This window comes from Homo sapiens, chromosome 10 (assembly GCF_000001405.40).
Source record: "Homo sapiens chromosome 10, GRCh38.p14 Primary Assembly".
In the NCBI taxonomy this organism is placed as follows: domain Eukaryota; kingdom Metazoa; phylum Chordata; class Mammalia; order Primates; family Hominidae; genus Homo; species Homo sapiens.
Window position 1 is genome coordinate 94,021,423 of NC_000010.11, and position 19,116 is coordinate 94,040,538.

Sequence of the window (19,116 nt, forward strand, 5' to 3'; positions counted from 1 at the left end):
GAATTAATATTTGTGCATGGTATGACATGGGGGTTGATGTTCATTTTTGTTTTTATTTGAATCCAGCACCATTTATTGACTGCCCTTTCCCCATTTAATTACATTTGTACCTTTGTTGAAAACTCAATCGACCATATATATGTAAATCTATTTCTAGACTATATTCTATTTCATTGATGTAAATTTCTATCCTTATGCCAGTATCACATTGTCAAGATTATTGGAGCTTTGTAGTATCTTGAAATTAGGTTAACTTCTCCAATTTTTCTCTCTTCTAAGAATTATTCTGACCATTCTAAAGCCTTTATGTTTTCCACAAATTTGCTAGATTGTTTCAATTTGAAAAATTAGTCGATATAGTTCACGATGTTAACCTATTAAGAGAGGAAAAATCATATTATCTCACTAAATGCAGAAAAACATTGGAAAATCCTTATTTGTGATAAAAATTTTCAGCAAACTAGGAACACAAGATAAAATCTTCAGTTTAGTAAAGGGCATTTATTAAGACACCTACAGCTAATATATTAAATAGTGATGTATTGAATATTTTCCCCATATGAATGAGGACAAAGTAAAGATGTATGCTCTTAGTACTTAGCATCATAATTGAAGATTCTAGCCACTAGAGTAAGGCAAGAAAAATAAATAAAAGATTTACCTTTGGAAAGAAAGAAGTACAACTTTATTTGAAGATGAGATGATTGTCTATGTAGAAAATTCTAAGTCACCTAAAAAATATTTGCTAGGAGTAATAATTGAATTTAACAAGGTTATAATTTATGTTGTCTATAAATAACAATTGTATTTCTGTGTATTAGCAACAACCAACTGAAAAATAACATTTAAGATAATTTTATTTACAAGACCACCACTAACATAAAATATTTAGGAACATACTTAACAAAAGATGTGTAGACCTCTATACAGATAAATAAAAAACATTGCTTAGGTAAATTAAAGAAGATATGCATATATACATATGTATGTGTGTGTGTATTCATATGTCTGTCTATGTGTGTATATGCATATATATTTTTCTTTGCATATATATATAAATATATATGTAAATCCATGTAGAGAGAGAAAGCAGAAAGTGTACTAGCACTGGCTAACTATATTATAGAGTAGAAGCCTAAATATAGTTAAGATGTTATTTTTCCCAGAATTGATATATTGATTTAAGCCAATCTTATCAGAGTCTGTATAGGCCCCCCTTTTTTTAAGAAATTGATTTTCTTACTGATCAAGGTAAATGGTTTGGATTTAACACACTACTAGATGGAACTCTGTTCCTTCTCAGGTAAAGTGATATGATGAAAATAGTGTTTGGAGAAGATTTTTCTGAAAATTATATGGAATGGATTGAAACAGAAGGAAGTCAGTTTCAGAGACTGGAAGCCCTTAAGTAATCCAGATCTTAATGGACAAGGATTGGGCTCATATAGCCATGGAAGGAAAGGAAAGGGTCAAATGTTTATTAAGACTAACTATATGTCTTGGTACTATGCTGGAAATGTAAAGTGTAGCATATTTATAAAACCCTTTCAGTTTAAAGATGCATGTTCTTCAGGGGCTCTCAATCTGTGAGGGGGCCCTATATTATCAATAGTTACAAAATAATGTGCCATGACATGATGTGGTGGTGGAAGGTAGGAAGAGCTACAGGAAACAGATGAGAGCAATTAATGCGGACAGGTGGGTGTCAGGGAGGGCTGCAGAACAAAGATGGCATTTAAGCTGAATGATGGAGTCAACAGAGTTAGAAAATAGTGGGAAGGGAAATGCACAGAGGCATTAAGTGCTAGGCTGATTCAATAAATTGCACAAAATCCAATGTGACTGCATAACTCTTCTTTGGGGGTTGGCCAGAGATGAAGCTGGAAAAAATAGACTAGGATTGACTTTTGGTGGGTCTAGTGCCATCTAAAATCTTGTGTTGCCCACTTTTCTCTCTTTTCATATCATCAAAGTTGTAGATCTGTGTGTGTTTGTGCATGCCTGCACACACACATAACTCCAGAATCTTGACATTATTATACAATGAAGGAGAGGGAGTCCTGTGAGCATCACAACATCACAATTCTATCCACTTCCACTCTTGGCTTAAAGTTACATTCTACTAACATCAATGACCCATATTTCTGGGAGAGTTATGATGATTTGCACGCTGATTAGAGACTGTCTTTACAGGGAAGATTTCCTTTCCTTGTGAGATTTGCAATTGGGAATTAACCTGTTATGGACAAACTTTTTTGTGATCCTCTATTTTACTGTATTGGCAGCCTTATCAATGTGTTAGTTCAAAAATATTTGTGTAGCTTTCTCATCTACTTATTAGTCAACTTCTAATATGTAATATACATAAAGTATAAAGATTAGGGTATCTGGGTTTTTTGAGTCTGGAGCCTTGCATTCCAGACTCAGAAACTTTTCTAATAAAGGGAGTTAAAGGCACAAAGGGTTAAATCTTTGTGGTCTTGGAAAAGAACTCAGATGAGTACACCAGTGCCTTTAGGGAATGTTTTAAGAGGTTTGTTTCCTTGTGAGTTATGGAATTTTCATCATAATAGTTCAGAGAAAGGAGGTCAGGAAGGAGTGGAGCAGCAGATATTCGGGAGAAGAAAAAGTAAAGACTGACTCATATTATGTAGGGTTTGCATGTGGGTGTATACACACTTAAATCCATGTGCACCGTGTGCACGTGATAAGGGAAAAGGGAGGAAAGGATTGCTTAGGCAAAATGTTTTCTTTAATCTCTTTGCTGAGTGGGCCTTGGGGAAGAGAATGCATAAGTAAATAACTGACCAATGTTGGTTGGTTGTTATATACAGATACTCAAAGGGACTCTATAAAACTCTAAAGAAGCAAATAGGGATATTAAATTCTATTACCAGTTTTGGCAGTTACTTTAGTGTCTCTTTTCCGTGATGGTGAAATTACTGAGTAACTTTTACTGTCTTTGATTGGATGAAATGTTCTTCTGAGGACTTCAGATGAATTCATGGTTATGCATTGTGTTTTCCTACTTTGTCTTTTGTTACCTGGTTCCCTTTATCTAAAGTCTCTTTTCCTTTTCATGAATACAGGTAATTACTACCTTACTATAAAGTCCTAGCTCAAATACCCTATCATTAGACTTTACTGATCTCTTGGTTTGTAGCCATCTTACCTTCTAAACTCTATGGAATTCAACAGGTGCTTAACCAATAGGCAGTTAACTGATAAATTAGTTTTTGTTATTGTTGTTAAGTCACACCTCCTTTAAACACCTTTAATATGCTTGTATTTCATATTTTTCTAACTTAACTATTCTTTAGAATTCCATTTGGCTTAGGAGAATAAAATTGGAAACATTCTAGGAATTAGTGACTATAACTTTCCCACCAATGCAGGAATTTTCTATAGAGGTTTCTTGTTATTTCACTCTTCTGTACTCTTGGACAAGTCATTCAAGCATTCTGAGCCTTATTCCTAAAATAGGTATGATAATAATACTACCCCCACCTTTTTAGTTTTAGTTAGGAAAAGATTTAGATGTGAGTGACAGAAAACCCAAGACAATGGTGGCTTAAACAAGATAGAATTTTTTTTCCCTCCCCTAAGTCCCGGAAACAGGCAGTCAGGTTTCTATCTTGTTTTTTTTTTCCTATACATGACATTCATTCTCATGTTCACCTCACAATCTAAGATGGCTGCTCCAGCTCTGGCTATCATGCCTTTCTTCCAATCAGCAGCAGAAGAAAGAGGGGCAGGAAAAGGGCAGACTCTATTCCTTCAAGCTCTCTTTCCAGAAATTGCAAACCACTTTGCTTATATCTCTTTGGCTGTAACTTAGTCCCATGGCCACATCTAGCTGTAAGGGAGGCTAATAAAGGAATATCCATATGCTTAGGTCAAATTCAGAGGTTCTACTACTGAGGAAATGAGAACAGATTTTGGGGGGAAATTAGGAGTCTCTGCCACCCTACTGATAATGTTGTAAAGATTAAATGAGATAGTATGTATTCTGTGCTTAGAACATGCCTGATAGATAATACATGCTCAGTATTAGGTCATTGTTTTTATAATTACCCTTGGTATACAGTCATCCATTTTTACTCTGTCATTCTAAATTCTCTCTGTTTATTTGTTCAGCATATATTGAGCATCCCTGATGCTGAATAATGTGCCTCTGTTTAAATCTATCAGTAACTGAAAGAAGGCCATCATCCAAGATAGCCCACCCTTTGTTGAAAAGCTCTAAAAGTTAGGGAAATCTTTATCAGACGGATCCAAAGCTTACCTCTCTTATAATTCATGTCTTAGTCCTGATCCTCCCTTTTGAAAGAATATGAGATGAGCCCATTTCCTCATCTCAATTCTTCAAATAAATAAAGATGGCTATCAAGCCTCCCACATAGTTTTCTTGCTCTAACCATGCATTTCATTAATTCATTATTTATCTAGTACATGGACTGGCAGACTTTTCTGTAAAGAGCCAGATGGCAAATATTTTCGGCTTTGTAGACCATATGGTATTTGTTACCACTTTTCAGCTCTACTATTATAATGCAAAAGCAGCTACAGACATGACATAAATAAATAGATGTGGCTGTGTTCCAATAAAATTTCATTTACAAAAACAGATGGCTTACCAGATTTGGGACTCAGTATGTAGTTTTCCAGCCCTTGATTTAGCCCATGAAAACACCCATCAACAGGATTATTCCTGGCCCATAGTCCCCTCTCCTGAAGCTGAAAACTTACCCTGTCACTCCTGATTCTGCTTATACCTTTCATTTATTTTTCTTGTCTTAATGCTTTGGCTAGAATTTCCAGCAATTCTTGCATCTCCATAGATCGACTTCCTGGCCAGTCATTTCTTTAGTCATATTACCTATCCCCAAATATCTCAAGATTGGACATACTATCTTGACAGGTACCCTCTTGTTCTGCCATATTTTTAGCCCACACAACCTTTGACCTCTCCCAGGCTGGCACTTATCCAATCTCCCCCATAAACCTGTTCACACTAAGAAAAGAAGAATCCCTTTTTCCATCTTTTTCTTCTTCAAACCCACTAGACTATGTTCTTCATTCAGTGCTTTAGGTTATCTTTAGCCAACAGTTGAATGCCACTATAACTCTAAATCTAACCTAACCTAGCCAGCTTCCCTTAAAAACAACCTAGAGCTGACCAAGAGTGAGTAAATAGAAAGTTAACAGTTATTGATGGGTCAGCTGCTGCTGACATACAAAATGTATATATATATTTCATCTCAATATTATAGATGTGGAAAGTATATCTCAAAATTGATAATTTAATCAGCTCAGGATCATGCAGCTTAGATTTAAGGAGTTGATCCCAGATATAGAACTGAAATTAAAATTGGAGTGGACCTAGTGAAGGGTGTGTATCTGGTACAGTAAATTCAATGCCATTTCACTGATACAACAGAGCTGCCAGACCTTGGTTGTTCTTTCTTACCAAGATATTTCAAGGCATAGAATAATAAACATTTGCCTTGAATTTTTGGATTTCAAAGTATTTCCTTCACAACCTGATGGAGTAGGTGATTTTATTTCTATTTTACAGAAGAAGAAATCAAACCCCAAAGTGGTTAAAATTTTTACCTGAGATACCAGACCCCAATGTCTGACTGTTTTCTTTTTATGACTGCCCATATTTGCTCTTCCCTGAAAACTCCACCCCACCTGTTTATCTAACTACTTCCTACTTATCTTTTGAAACTCAACTGAGTTGTCTTCTTGTGAAGGAAACCCTCCCTGGAAATCACTCCCACCCCATCAGCACTGTCTGCTTTAGATGTTCTTCCTCTGTGTTAATGCAGATTATAGCTCTATTTACACTGTACTTTGGTGACTTATCAGATGGTAAGGAAATCCAGGACAAGATCCCTGCCTTATTTAATTGTGTACTCAACAAATATTTGCTGAATAAAGGAATGGTCTGAGATTGAACCAAGTCTAGTGCTCTATAAAGTCTGCTCCCTGTAATGTTGCTCATCCATGATTCATGATAGTAAGCTGGAGGCAAAGCAAAGACCATTGCTTCGATGTCTGTGTATATCCTCAGCCTTCCAGAGACAAAGCCACATATAAGATAAGCTTCTTGGCTGGGCTTGGTGGCTCATGCCTGTAATTCCAGCACTTCGGGAAGCCAAGGTGGGCGGATCACAAGGTCAGGAGATCGAGACCATCCTGGCTAACATGGTGAAACCCCGTCTCCACTAAAAATACAAAAAATTAACTGGGCGTGGTGGCACATGCCTGTAGTCCCAGCTACTCAGGAGGCTGAGGCAGGAGAATCGCTTGAATCCATGAAGTGGAGGTTGTAGTGAGCCAAGATCATGCCACTGCACTCCAGCCTGGCGACAGAGTGAGACTCCATCTCAAAATAAATAAATAAATAAATAAATAAATAAGATAAAAAATAAAAAATGAAAGGCTTCTCCTAGCAGCCATGGGTCTTCATAGCTAGAAGACATCAGAAACCCAAACCCATAGGGCTTCAGACTAGATGGAAGATAAAACAGCATAGTCTATGGCTAAGAGAAGAGATTCTGTAGTCAGTCTTCTTGGATTTGAATCCTGTCTCAATCATTTTCCAGTGGAGGGATCTTTGGCAATTCACTTAGCTTTTCTTTGCTTTGGTTTCTACTCTTTCAAATGTGGATAGCAGAAATTATTTGTATTAGTTATCTATCACTGTGTAGCATATTAGCCCAAAATGTAGTGGCTCAAAGCAATAAACATTTATCATCTCACAGTTTCTGTGGTCAGGAATTTGGGACGAGGCTTATCTGTCTGAGGGTCTGTCATGTGGTTGCAGTCAAGATATAGGTTGCAGATACAATCATCTAAAGCCTTGACTATAGCTGGAGGATCCGCTTCCAAGATGGCGCACTCACATGGGTGTTGTCAAGAGTCCTCCATACTTTCCACAGGGATCTCTTCTTACAATATGGCAGCAGATTACCCCCAGAGCATGCGAGAGAGGAGTAGCAAGGAGGAAGCTCCAATGACTTTCATGACTGATTCTCAGCAGTCATGTACTGTTCCTTCTACCACATTCCATACATTAGAGGGAAGCCACTAAGTATAACCCACATTCAAGGGGCGGGGAATTAGGCTCCACCTTGTGAAGAGAGGAGTATCAAAGAATTTGTGGACATATTTTAAAACCATCACACTATCTTGTAGTATTGAGTGAGAATTACACAAGATAATAATTGCAAAGTGGCCGGGCACAGTGGCTCACACCTGTAATTCCAGCAATTTGGGAGGCTAAGATGGGAGGATCGCTTGAGCCCAGAAATTCAAGACCAGACTGGGCAACATGGTGAATCCCTGTCTTTACAAAAAATACAAAAATTAGCCAAGCGCAGTGCTATAGTCTCAGCTACTTGGGAGGCTGAGGTGGGAGGATCACTTGAACCCAGGCTGGTTTTAAAATATGTCCACAAATTCTTTGATATTTCTCCTTTCAAAAGGTGGACCCTAATTCCCCTCCCCTTGAATGTGGGTTATACTTAGTAATTCCTTCTAACATATAGAATATGATAGAAGGAACAGTATGTGACTGCTGAATCCAGGAGGCAGAGGTTGCAGCAAGCAGTGATTGTGCCATTGCACTTCAGCCTGGTAACAGAATGGGACTCTGTCTCAAAATTATGATGATGATGATGATATTTATAATTATAATAACAACAATAATTACAAAGTCCTTAGAACAGGACCTAAGCATCACCAAAAATGTTTTCCCCTTCTCCTCCTTTGAATTGCTTACCTCATGGGTAAGAAAGGACATATTAGCTGTCAATCTGAAGGCTTTGGCCTGAAAAATCTCTTTAAAAAATAGAGCAGATATTTGAATTCAAGTTAGTGCCATATGCCACTAAAATTATCTATATAATCTTGACCTGAAAAGTTGTTCATGGTGTGCTTTGAATTTTTAAAAGCAGGTACAGAACAGAATGACCAACATTATCTGGTATTTGCATAGTTATACACATATATCTCTATGTATGTTGATGCATAGGGAGTGTTCTGGAAGGAGGTTTCTGAAAGTATTGATAATAGTTATTGCTGTGTGATAGGATTTGTTAGGATGTTGAGCTAGGACACTGCTGCTCTGTGTGGGCTGGTTTATTCCCTGCAAAGAATATGATTTCTAGGGTTTCCAGTGATTTTTCAGAGTAGTTGTAGAGACATGAATATACTGGGAGCCTCTCACCCTTGAGGCTGTGTTTGTGCTTGAGGGAACACATATAGAAGGGATTAAGGGGTAGTTGATGACTCTTTGGGAAAAGAGGGTACGGGAGAAGCAAGGGGAAGAAAGACATCTATTTGTCAAAGAGCAAAGGCAAGGCAAAGCTGGTGTTGGCAGCAGAGCGTGACTGCTGATTAGTTTTCTCGGGAGCAACTGCTTCTCCTGGAAGGGAATGATATGCTCATCATGGGCACCTTCTAGTCCTATAGTGCCTTGTATATCCTTTATAATTGTGTTTCCACATTGGATAGAAATTTTTTTGATTCCCTCTCTCTACTAACAGAGTTACAAGCAGTGCAGGCTTGTTAGTGATAAGTTATTTCAGCTTTATATGCCTGGAAAAGTTTTTACTTAATTTTTATTTGCAGAAGACATTTTTGCTGGGTATAGAATTTGAAGTTGACAGTAGTTTTTCTTTCAGTACTTTAAAGATTTGTCCACTCTCTTCTGGATTGCATTGTTTCTGATTAAAAGTCTGCTGTCATTCTTATCTTTGTGCCTCTTTGCTTAATGTGCCTTATTTCTCTAGCTTCCTTGGCCTCCCTGAAGTCTTAACTATTTCTCTTCTACTCAGGTAAATTGTTGGATTTTATCTGAGTTTCCCTTCCTTGCCTTGTTGCCTGGAAACTTTCTAAGCAGTAAGCTAGGGCATTTATAGGGCTCACTTCTTTTTTTTTTCTTCTTTCAGACATCAATGTCTGTGTTGCTCGTTGTTCAATATCTGAAAACCACTGGGTTTTTTTCTGATTTTCTTTTTAGTTATTTAAGGTGGATGAATAAATCTTGCCCTTGTTACTCCATTTTGGCTGGAAGCAGAAGTTCTGAAACATTAAATAAAAAAAAAATACTAAAAACATAAAAACCAACTTCTGATTGCAAAAAAAAACCTTTTTTCTCAAAATTGTCTGTATCTTAGGATTGTGAGATCATTTTTTTAAAAACTCACTGAGTGCCACAGTGTTTGACATTATCTCTTTTCTTACAGGAAACAGGAATCATTCAAACTGGATTTTAAAATCATTGCAAATCAGTGATGGATCAGAAGTTGCAGAGTGCAATCCCGAGTAAAAGTCTTCAAAAAATTTTGCTTCAGGTAACAGAGGAAGGAAAATTGATCTACCACCTTAAAACCCTGATCTAGAAAAAATATATATTCATGATAGGAAGTTATAACTAAGAAAATTTATTTGCCTCTTAATGCTCCTGAATGAAAGGAATTATCCCTTTGTTCTTTGGGAGGACTTGTGTATCTGAGATTGTTGTAATAATCAGTCATTTTATTAAAACCTTGACATGATCACCAGGGAGGAAAAATAGAGCAATAGTCAAAACCTGTGTGTTAGTCCAAGATGACTTCTGAAGAAATGACAGCTTCTGTTCTCATACCTGTGACTCAGAGAAAAGTGGTTTCTGCCCAGTCGGCTGCAGATGAAAGTAGTGAAAAGGTCTCAGACATCAATATTTCAAAAGCACATACTGTCAGACGAAGTGGGGAGACTTCTCATACCATCTCACAACTGAACAAACTTAAAGAAGAACCTTCTGGAAGCAACTTGCCAAAGATTCTCTCAATAGCGAGGGAGAAAATAGTGAGTGATGAGAACAGTAATGAAAAATGTTGGGAGAAAATCATGCCAGATTCTGCGAAAAACCTTAACATTAACTGCAACAACATATTGAGAAACCATCAGCATGGCCTTCCTCAGAGACAATTTTATGAAATGTACAACTCTGTTGCTGAGGAAGACTTGTGTTTAGAAACTGGAATTCCTTCTCCACTGGAAAGAAAGGTGTTCCCTGGAATTCAACTGGAACTAGACAGACCTTCCATGGGCATTAGTCCTTTAGGAAATCAGTCAGTGATCATAGAGACAGGCAGAGCACACCCTGACAGCAGAAGGGCAGTATTTCATTTTCATTATGAAGTTGACAGAAGAATGTCAGACACTTTCTGTACCCTATCAGAAAACTTAATTTTAGACGATTGTGGAAATTGTGTACCACTACCTGGGGGTGAGGAGAAGCAAAAGAAAAACTATGTGGCATATACCTGTAAACTGATGGAATTGGCCAAAAATTGTGATAATAAGAATGAGCAGCTGCAGTGTGATCATTGTGACACCTTGAATGATAAATACTTTTGCTTTGAAGGCTCTTGTGAGAAGGTTGACATGGTATATTCAGGTGATAGCTTTTGTAGGAAAGACTTTACTGACAGTCAAGCTGCCAAGACCTTTTTGAGCCATTTTGAGGACTTCCCTGATAATTGTGATGATGTAGAAGAAGACGCTTTTAAAAGCAAAAAGGAGCGATCCACTTTGTTAGTCAGGAGATTCTGTAAAAATGACAGAGAAGTTAAGAAATCTGTGTATACTGGAACAAGAGCAATTGTGAGAACTCTGCCTTCTGGCCACATTGGGCTGACTGCATGGAGTTACATAGATCAGAAGAGAAATGGTCCCTTACTGCCTTGTGGGAGAGTAATGGAACCCCCGTCAACAGTGGAGATAAGGCAAGATGGGAGCCAACGTCTGTCAGAAGCCCAGTGGTATCCTGTAAGCATTTGAGTTTCTTTTTACCATTTCTTTAAACTTGCTTTTTTTTTCAAAAAAAAGTCCAAATTTCCATTGTCATAATTGATGAGAAATTTTAAGATCTGTCAAATTATGATTCTTAGGTTAAGCATTTGTGGTTATTGAAAACAGATACTCCAATTGATAGCTATCAAGATTGAGTTGATACTGCAACAACATAAAAGTGTGTCAGAAAATAATGTTATTGGGAGTGGAGGAATTAGGGAGATTTCCTGGTAGTGGAAAAATGGCTCCATTTGTTGCTTATCTGTTTGTGTTCTTTTGAGATAAATGCCTGGGTCCTGTTCTATGGTGTAGTTCATTATTGTTTTTAGGTCTCCAGACCTAACAGAACTTAATTCTGTTTTTTTTCATTTTCCAACTAATGGCCCCACTTCCTTCCCTCTTAAACTTTTTTATGCCCTGGATTCCTTTGGCAAAGTGATGAAACCTATGGATTCAGAATGATGTTTTTAAATGAATCAGATGAAATAGAAATCATCATAAAGGACAAGTTATGCGGATATACATTTATCATGATTTTTTTAAATTAACCTGACAATTTAGGTGCTTCTTTATTAATACATTTAATAATAATATCTAGTTATGTGATAACTATCATAATTTCAAAATAGAATTAGCCCTCATCTGTATCCACAGATTCAACCAACTGCATATAGAAAATATTTTTGTAAGAAACAAAAAATAACAATATAACAATAAAAAATAACACAGATTTTACAATCTAATACACTGTAACACTATTTACATAGTATAAGGTATTCTAAGTAATCTAGAGAAGATTTAAAGTATACGGGAAGATGCATGTATGTTATATGCAAATACTAGGCCATCTTACATAAGGGACTTGAGCATTCTTGAACTTTGGTGTTCGAGGGGGTAGGGGGCAGTTCTGGAACCAGTTCCTCTGAGCTATTGAGGGATAATTGTAGTGATGAATATAAGTCCTTATATTCATAAGTATAGATTGTATACTTATGCATATATTGGATTATGTATATATACTTATGTATATATAGTATGGATTTCTTGAAATTTTCTCAATTTTAGCACTGTAAATTCCATGTCCTGGAAAACCCTTCAGACCAAACCAGAGCAGTCGATCACCCTAAATATCAATAACATTTTAGGATATCTATCACAACTGTAATAGGATATGGAAATATCTGTGACTTCTATTGGTGACAAGATCACAGTTACTATTACTACTACTGAAGTTTGTTGCTTATATTCAGAATTAAAGGAAATGCTAAATTTCCTTTTTGAGATTAATGAAAATAATGAATCACTTTTTTTTCCTCAACCAGATTTCCAGGTCCTCTGAATTCTATCCACAGTCTCCCCTCTTTAAGAATCCTGCTCTGGAAATACACATGATCAGGCTGCCTGCTCTCAGACCTTATCTGTACATCTGAGGACAGTGCCATGTGCCATCTTGGATTTTTTTATCCTGAAAACTCTTGCTTCCTTCAGTCATTCTCTATGTGAAACTGTTTCTAGAACTCTCACATTCCAATTTTTCATAAGTCCTTTAAAACCTGACCCTAGAAATAAGCACCTGGTCTAGAGAAACATCATTTTTATTGAAATATAAGTGCTATATTTTTACTTTCATCATCATCATCATCATCATCATTGTATTAGTCTGTTCTCATGCTGCTAATAAAGACATAGTCAAGACTGGGTAGTTTACAGAGAAAAAGAGGTTCAGTGGACTCACAGTTCCACATGGTTGGGCAGGCCAAACAATCATGGCAGAAGGCAGAAGAGGAGCAAAGACATGTCTTATATGGTGGCAGGCAAGAAATCATGTGCAGGGGAACACCCATGTATAAAACCATCATATCTTATGAGACTTATTCACTACCATGAGAAAACTATAGGGGAAACCGCCCCCATGATTCAATTATCTCCACCTGGCCCTGCCCTTGACACATGGAGATTATTACAATTTGAGGTGAGATTTGGGTAGGGACACAGCCCAACCATTTGAGTCATCAATCAGGGTAGCTAACATTTATTGAGCATTCAACAAATGCCAGATATTGGGCTAAATAATTTACATATTCCATGTTGTACAATCATCTTAACTACCTTAGGATTTTGATATGATAATTAACACTTTTATTGCTAAGCAAACTGATTTCCTGAGAAATTATGTACCTCATCAAGGTTACTTAGCTAGTAAGTGAAATAACTAAGATTTAATCCAGGCAGCTGACACTCCTAGGTGGTTTCTTAAGATCCAGAAAGGAATAAAATTCAGAGGAAGCTTTTAAAAGAACGGAAGAATTCTGTTCGTTTCAGCATCTGTTGATTGAGTGACCCCATTCATTGATGCTCACGGTATCTCAGACTTGGCCATGTTAGGTATGGTGATTGTAAACCTGCTTACACGTCACAGTCACTGTCCAGACCCCTCCTCAGGCCCTTTGAATCAGAATCACTGGGGTAGGGCACAGCATGAATATTTTTTTCAAAGTTCCCTTGGTGATTCTATAGATTCTATGGAGTTGGGAACCATTGGCTAGGAGTTTAAACAGAGCTCTTTGCTTTTTGATCAGGACATTTCAGGAATATTTGCCTTTCCCTAAAAAAGACACTGCTTGGGTTCTTAGGAACATTTGGGCTGACCTGGGAACCTGCCTGAAAAGTGAAAGCCTGCAGGTCCTTCTCTATACAGTTGACCACTCACCCCAGCCAGTGTCTAAGGATGTGTTTCTGTGTCTCTTGACCTGATTCCACATGAAACCTGAGTCACAGACAAGGAGCCCCTCACCAGCATGCCTGTCCTGCTCAGCACTAGATGACTTGCACAGCATCTCCCTGCCATGAAACTGCTGCTGAGAGCAACGTGTCATCTTAGTTAAAAATGCAGTGGTTTAAAAAATCATGTACACTCGAACATTAAGAGCACAATCGAAATTTAAATATAGCAAAGTGAATGGAAATAGGTTGCTTTAGAACCTTTATCATTGTTTCCCTATGAGGGTTGTGAATCGGGTGTAAATTTCAGAATAATTTTTGGTATGCCTATACCCTCCTCCAGTTTCTTCTTTTCTATAGCCCTGCTGCTGTTTCTTCTGAGCTTGTTCACTGGTCCCCAGCTCAAACCTGCCCTTGTTCATCAAAGGCCTGGGATGGTTAATTTCTAATTGAAAAGGACAAAAGGGATGATGCAAATTGTCTCTTCCCTGCTTCTTAGTCTCTGGAGGCTGGGAGAGGTTGCCACACCTGTCAGAGTAGACTCCAGGAACTTTTATCCCCTTGGTCTGAGCAGGCTTGGAGGAGGCTATTGGCATTTTTATTAACCATTAAGATGCGGCTGGGGAATAGGCTGGTTGTCCTGTCCTTTCTTAAGGGAGATTTCTAAAGGGGGGGCCCTTTCTGAATATTCAAACCACACCATATCAGCAATGAATCAGTATTTTCTAAGGTATGGTGTTCTGTATATCTTGTTTTTTAGTTTAGAATCTGGTAGAAATTCTCAAAAGTTGCACAGGTGAATTATAACTAGTTTTTCCCAGCTCCTATGAATTACTTCCTTCAAAGATGCGGATCTTAATGATATGCTCCTTTTCCTGTGTTTTGGTAATTACATATGTGTCCGTTCTGGTTCCTCAATCAGATTGTAAATCGATTAAGGACAAGAAATAAGTTCTGCATTATTTTACTCTCCATAATGCAAGCATAATGCCAAGTATACAGAGAATAAGGGCAATGTAATGGTTACAAATACAGTCTCTGGAGTCAGTCGACCTGAATTTAAATTGTGACCCTCACTCCATCACTGACTGGCCATGTGAATTCTGGTACACAGTTTGACCTCTTTGTTTCTAATTACCTTTTTTATAAACTGAGAATAATGGTGTTATTGTGGCGTTAAATGAGATGCTACCCACCACACAGTTCTAGCAAGGAGTGAGTGCTGCTCTGCTCACTCTGGCCACTGTGGATATGCTTTGTCGAGAACACATTTCCACCACCTTCTGCTGTGTGTCTTCTCACTCAGGGATGTTTACAGTGGTATGAATTTGAATTCATGTTTCTCAATCTATAATGAGGTAGTTTGAACAATCCTTCCCACACATTTAAAGAATGTGCTGTTTGTACAATTAATTCCTTGGCCCTCACATTAAACATTTTTTTTTCTTGGATACCTTGGTCAGAATGACCCATTTAATTTATATTTGCACAGCTGTGTAGAGAAGATTGGCTTTGAATGGAAAACATTAATGAAGATTAATGCTTGCTGACATACTAACTACTGGTATCCTCCTTCTCCTCCTCATAAGAAATTAAAACCCTATCCCTTATCCAGTTACAGTCATACTCCCTCTCTCCTGCTCTGAAATAAGACAGGATATTTTGATGGGTGGCTAAAGTCTCCAAGCTAAAGATTGGTTAGGGGTGTTTTTCCTTTAAAAAAAAATTCTCAACCTGCCTGAATTTTGAGGAGTTTAGATACATATAGTTATCTTGAATGTGAAGTACAAGAAGTTTCTGCTTCTGCCTTGCTGGAATTGCTCATGTAACCTGAGATCCACGTGCACTCAGAGAATGTGAAGGTGCCAGGGCAGAAATTCCACTGGCTCCTGTATTATCACTTTACTTATTTCCCTTCTTTGTTCCACAAGATTTACTGTACAAGAATATGTATGACAAAATAGAAAAAAAACTCAGATACACTAAAGAGTAAAAAACAAAGAATAAAAATGTAAAGATTGAATAAAAAAATTTTACATCAGTCTAGAAAAGCTATAATTTAAAAAGGAAGGTCAAAAGCAGCTTCTGTATTGCTGCTTCTTATTCTGCTTTCTTCCTTTTAAAAGTTGCCTTTCTTCTTCATACTTTACTCTCAAGAACAGAAAATTAAACCTAACAGGCAATTTTTTTTTAGTGTTTCACAAAAATGCCTTTGTTGGTATACATGTCCTTGATTCTATATTTTGTCTCTTTCAAATTGAAGAGACCTGAACCTTAGGGGAGAGATAATGTCTGTTGTGTGCAAAGGGACCAACCGCTAATAAATTCATCTTCTGAGTTGTAATTTTTATGGATGATAAAATATCCATTGAGCCCCACTGTTCAATGTTGTAAGGGATTGCTGTTGAGATAGCAACATGTCTTGTTTTCTGGTCTGGAAATTTGGTTGCCCTGGAGCTAGGGTACAGTTTGGACCTTGAGACAATTAAAATTTCGTGGGGTGCTTAGGCTTAGCTGGAAGCCTGTGCTTGGTGATTTGCCAGGCTGCCTCTTTCATTACGAAGGGTAGTGATGGGTTGATGACATGGGTATAGGATGATGCTGGCCCCTTCCTGCTGGGCACAGTGAAAGGGAATCCAGCTTCCTCTCAGCTCCTGTGCAGTTTAGTCATGTCTAGTGCCTCAGTGGAAAATGTGATGGCTGTCAGAGTCCAGCTTTGTGATGATTGGACTGCTTTCCCTTATTAGCTGCATTGGTGCACTATAGGATAAATGTCCCCCCGCATCTCTGTAGTTATACCAGCCCTTTGGCTAAGATTTGGTAAGAGCGGGAATGAAAAACCTTGACTCTGGATTCCAGTGTAAGGTAAATGCACTGGTGGCCACTGTTATTCTCATAGTATTCTTTGGACAGTATCAGCATTAGGATTATTATTATTTTTCTTTTCCCTAGATGTCCTACATAATGGGAATTAGCAGCTGGAGAGGCCCCATCCCTGAAAATGGGCCGTGGTAGTATGTGGCCTGAAAAGAATTAGATCCAGTGGGCAAGGATAAAACCATCTGGTGAAACCCTGATCTGCTCCACAACCTGTATTTTGCAGACCAGAGACTCAAGCTGCCCTTTGAATGACCTCTGAAAAGTCACGAGTCATAGAAGTGGCCCCTTCTGAGCTTAAGGGAGTCCTGGGGTTAGAGAGGAGGTTTCCACCCTGTTGATCAAATGATTCAGCATTCAAGGATTTGAAGCATCAGTGGGGGGAGGTGCACCCACTGACCCCCACGACTAGACTAACTGGTGGCTCAGACAGCGCCCTCTCTCAAAAGCTGTTCTTAGACAGCGGTGCTGGGCTTATTTTCTGGCACCATGACAACCAAATGGTGCCCCTTTCAGTGGTTCTTTATTCTAGTGGCTTGCTTAAACACATTCAGAGCTTCACATTAAATATAGGTCTTCTAGAGCTCAGGCACCAGAACCCTGAACCCCTAACCCCAAGGCTCAGTCCCTTACAAGGAACCCCAAACCCTTCCTTCTTATTTAGGCCATCACTCCTCAAACCCTGAGAAAGCTCAGCAGAAAACCTCCTCAGCCTTCAGCAATACAAAGTCATGCTATCATTGTTCAAGGATAGGGAAAGCCAGTCCTTTGAAACACAATAGCAGATTTCCTTGAAGGGGAGGAGAAATGCTTTGGTGTCTTCTTATTTTTTTTAACAGCTTTATTGATGTATAATTCACATACCATACAATTCACCCAGTTAAGGTATACAATTCAGTGGTTTTAAATATGTTCACAGATATGTGCAGGCATCACTACAGTCAATTTTAGAACATTTTCATCATCTCAAAAAGCAACCCTGTTTCTTTTAGCTATCACCCTCTATCGCCCCATCCTGTGCCTCTCCCCCAGCCCTAAGGAACCACTAATCCACTTTCTGTCTCTATAGATTTCCCTATTCTGGACTTTCATATGAATGGACTTTCATACTGTTTGGTCTTGTGACTGGCTTCTTTCACTTCGCATAATCTTTTCAAGGTTAAATATTCATTTATACGGTAGCATGAATCAATATTCATACTTTTCACTGCTGAATAATATTTCATTGTATGATTATGCCCCATTTTATTTATCTGTTCATCAATTGTTGGACATTGAGTTGTTTCCACTTTTGGATTATTATGAATAATACTGCTGTGAGCATTCATGCAGAAGTTTTTGTGTGGACATAGTTTCCATTTCTTTTGGATAAATACCCAGGATTGGAATTGCTGGGTCACATGATAACTCTGTTTAATCTTTTCAGGAATGGCCAGACTGTTTTCCAAAGCAGCTGCACATTTTACATTCCCACCAGCAATGCAAAAGGGTTCTAGTTTCTCCATATCTTTTTTTTTTTTTCCCGGAGACGGAGTCTTGCTCTGTTGCCCAGGCTGGAGTGCAGTGGCACAATCTAGACTCACTGCAACCTCTGCCTCCTGGGTTCAAGCAATTCTCATGCCTCAACCTGAGGCATGAGTATTTGGGATTACAGGTGCGTGCCACTATGCCCAGCTAATTTTTATATTTTTAGTAGAGACAGGGTGTCACCATGTTGGCCAGGCTGGTCTCAAACTCCTGACCTCAGGTGATCCGCCCACCTTGGCCTCCGAAAATGGTGGGATTACAGGCGTGAGCCACCACACCCAGCCTGATTTCTCCACATCTTGAACAGTGTTTCTTATTGTCTGTCTTTTGGTTATAGCCATCCTAGTGGGTGTAAACTGATATTTCATTGTTTTGATTTGCATCTTCCTGATGGCAAATGATGCTGAACATCTTTTCATGTGCTCTTAGCCATTTGTATATCATAGAAATGTCTAGTCAAATTATTTGCCCATTTTTAAATTGAGCTGTCTTTTTTATTTTTGATATATATTCTGGATATAAGTTCATTATCAGATATGTGGTTTGCAAAATAGATTTAGATATATGTATAGGTATAGATATATGAATGAAGATCAGGCAAGTGGCAAAGGAGGTTTACAATTTTATTTACAGTGGAGCTTGTTAAACATGTCCCTTGGACATTCATCTCCTTCTCAATATTTCTCACATTATTCTACCAGCAACAACTTTCAAATATGATTAAAAATTTTTTTTGTAGCAGCAAGATCTTGCTATGTTGCCCAGGCTAGTCTCCAACTTCTGGCCTCAACTGATCCTCCTGCCTCAGCCTCCGAAAGTACTGGGATTACAGGCATGCGCCACTGTGCCTGGCTCCAAATGTGATTTTAAAAATTTTCCAACTTCTCCAGATTCTCCCAAACTCCAGTCTGCATAGCTTTTCTTTTTTTTCCCTCCTCCCTTTCTGCCTAAATGTTGTTATCTAAATTGTTTTTTTTATTATCCAAACTCTGCACCCCAGAGCAGTGGCTGGGAATGAGATTGTCAGTCCACAACCTTGGGCACAAGGACATCATCCAACACAGTGATGGTTGAGGAAGAGGTCGCCACATCACAATAATGCACTCCGTTATGCACAGGTACAAGCAGGGCCATCAC

At 38.2% G+C, this 19,116-nt stretch overlaps 1 protein-coding gene across 25 annotated transcripts in view; it reads left to right on the forward strand.

The window, feature by feature from the left end:
* Positions 1-19,116, forward strand: part of PLCE1 (phospholipase C epsilon 1) — a 338,893-nt gene that overhangs the window by 27,492 nt on the left and 292,285 nt on the right. For all 25 annotated transcript variants that reach the window (XM_047425285.1, XM_047425289.1, XM_047425297.1 and 22 more), the window contains one exon: positions 9,261-10,830. In XM_047425285.1, coding sequence (XP_047281241.1) covers positions 9,625-10,830 — 1,206 coding nt within the window. In that variant the 5' untranslated portion in view covers positions 9,261-9,624. The remainder of the gene's footprint in view (positions 1-9,260; positions 10,831-19,116) is intronic.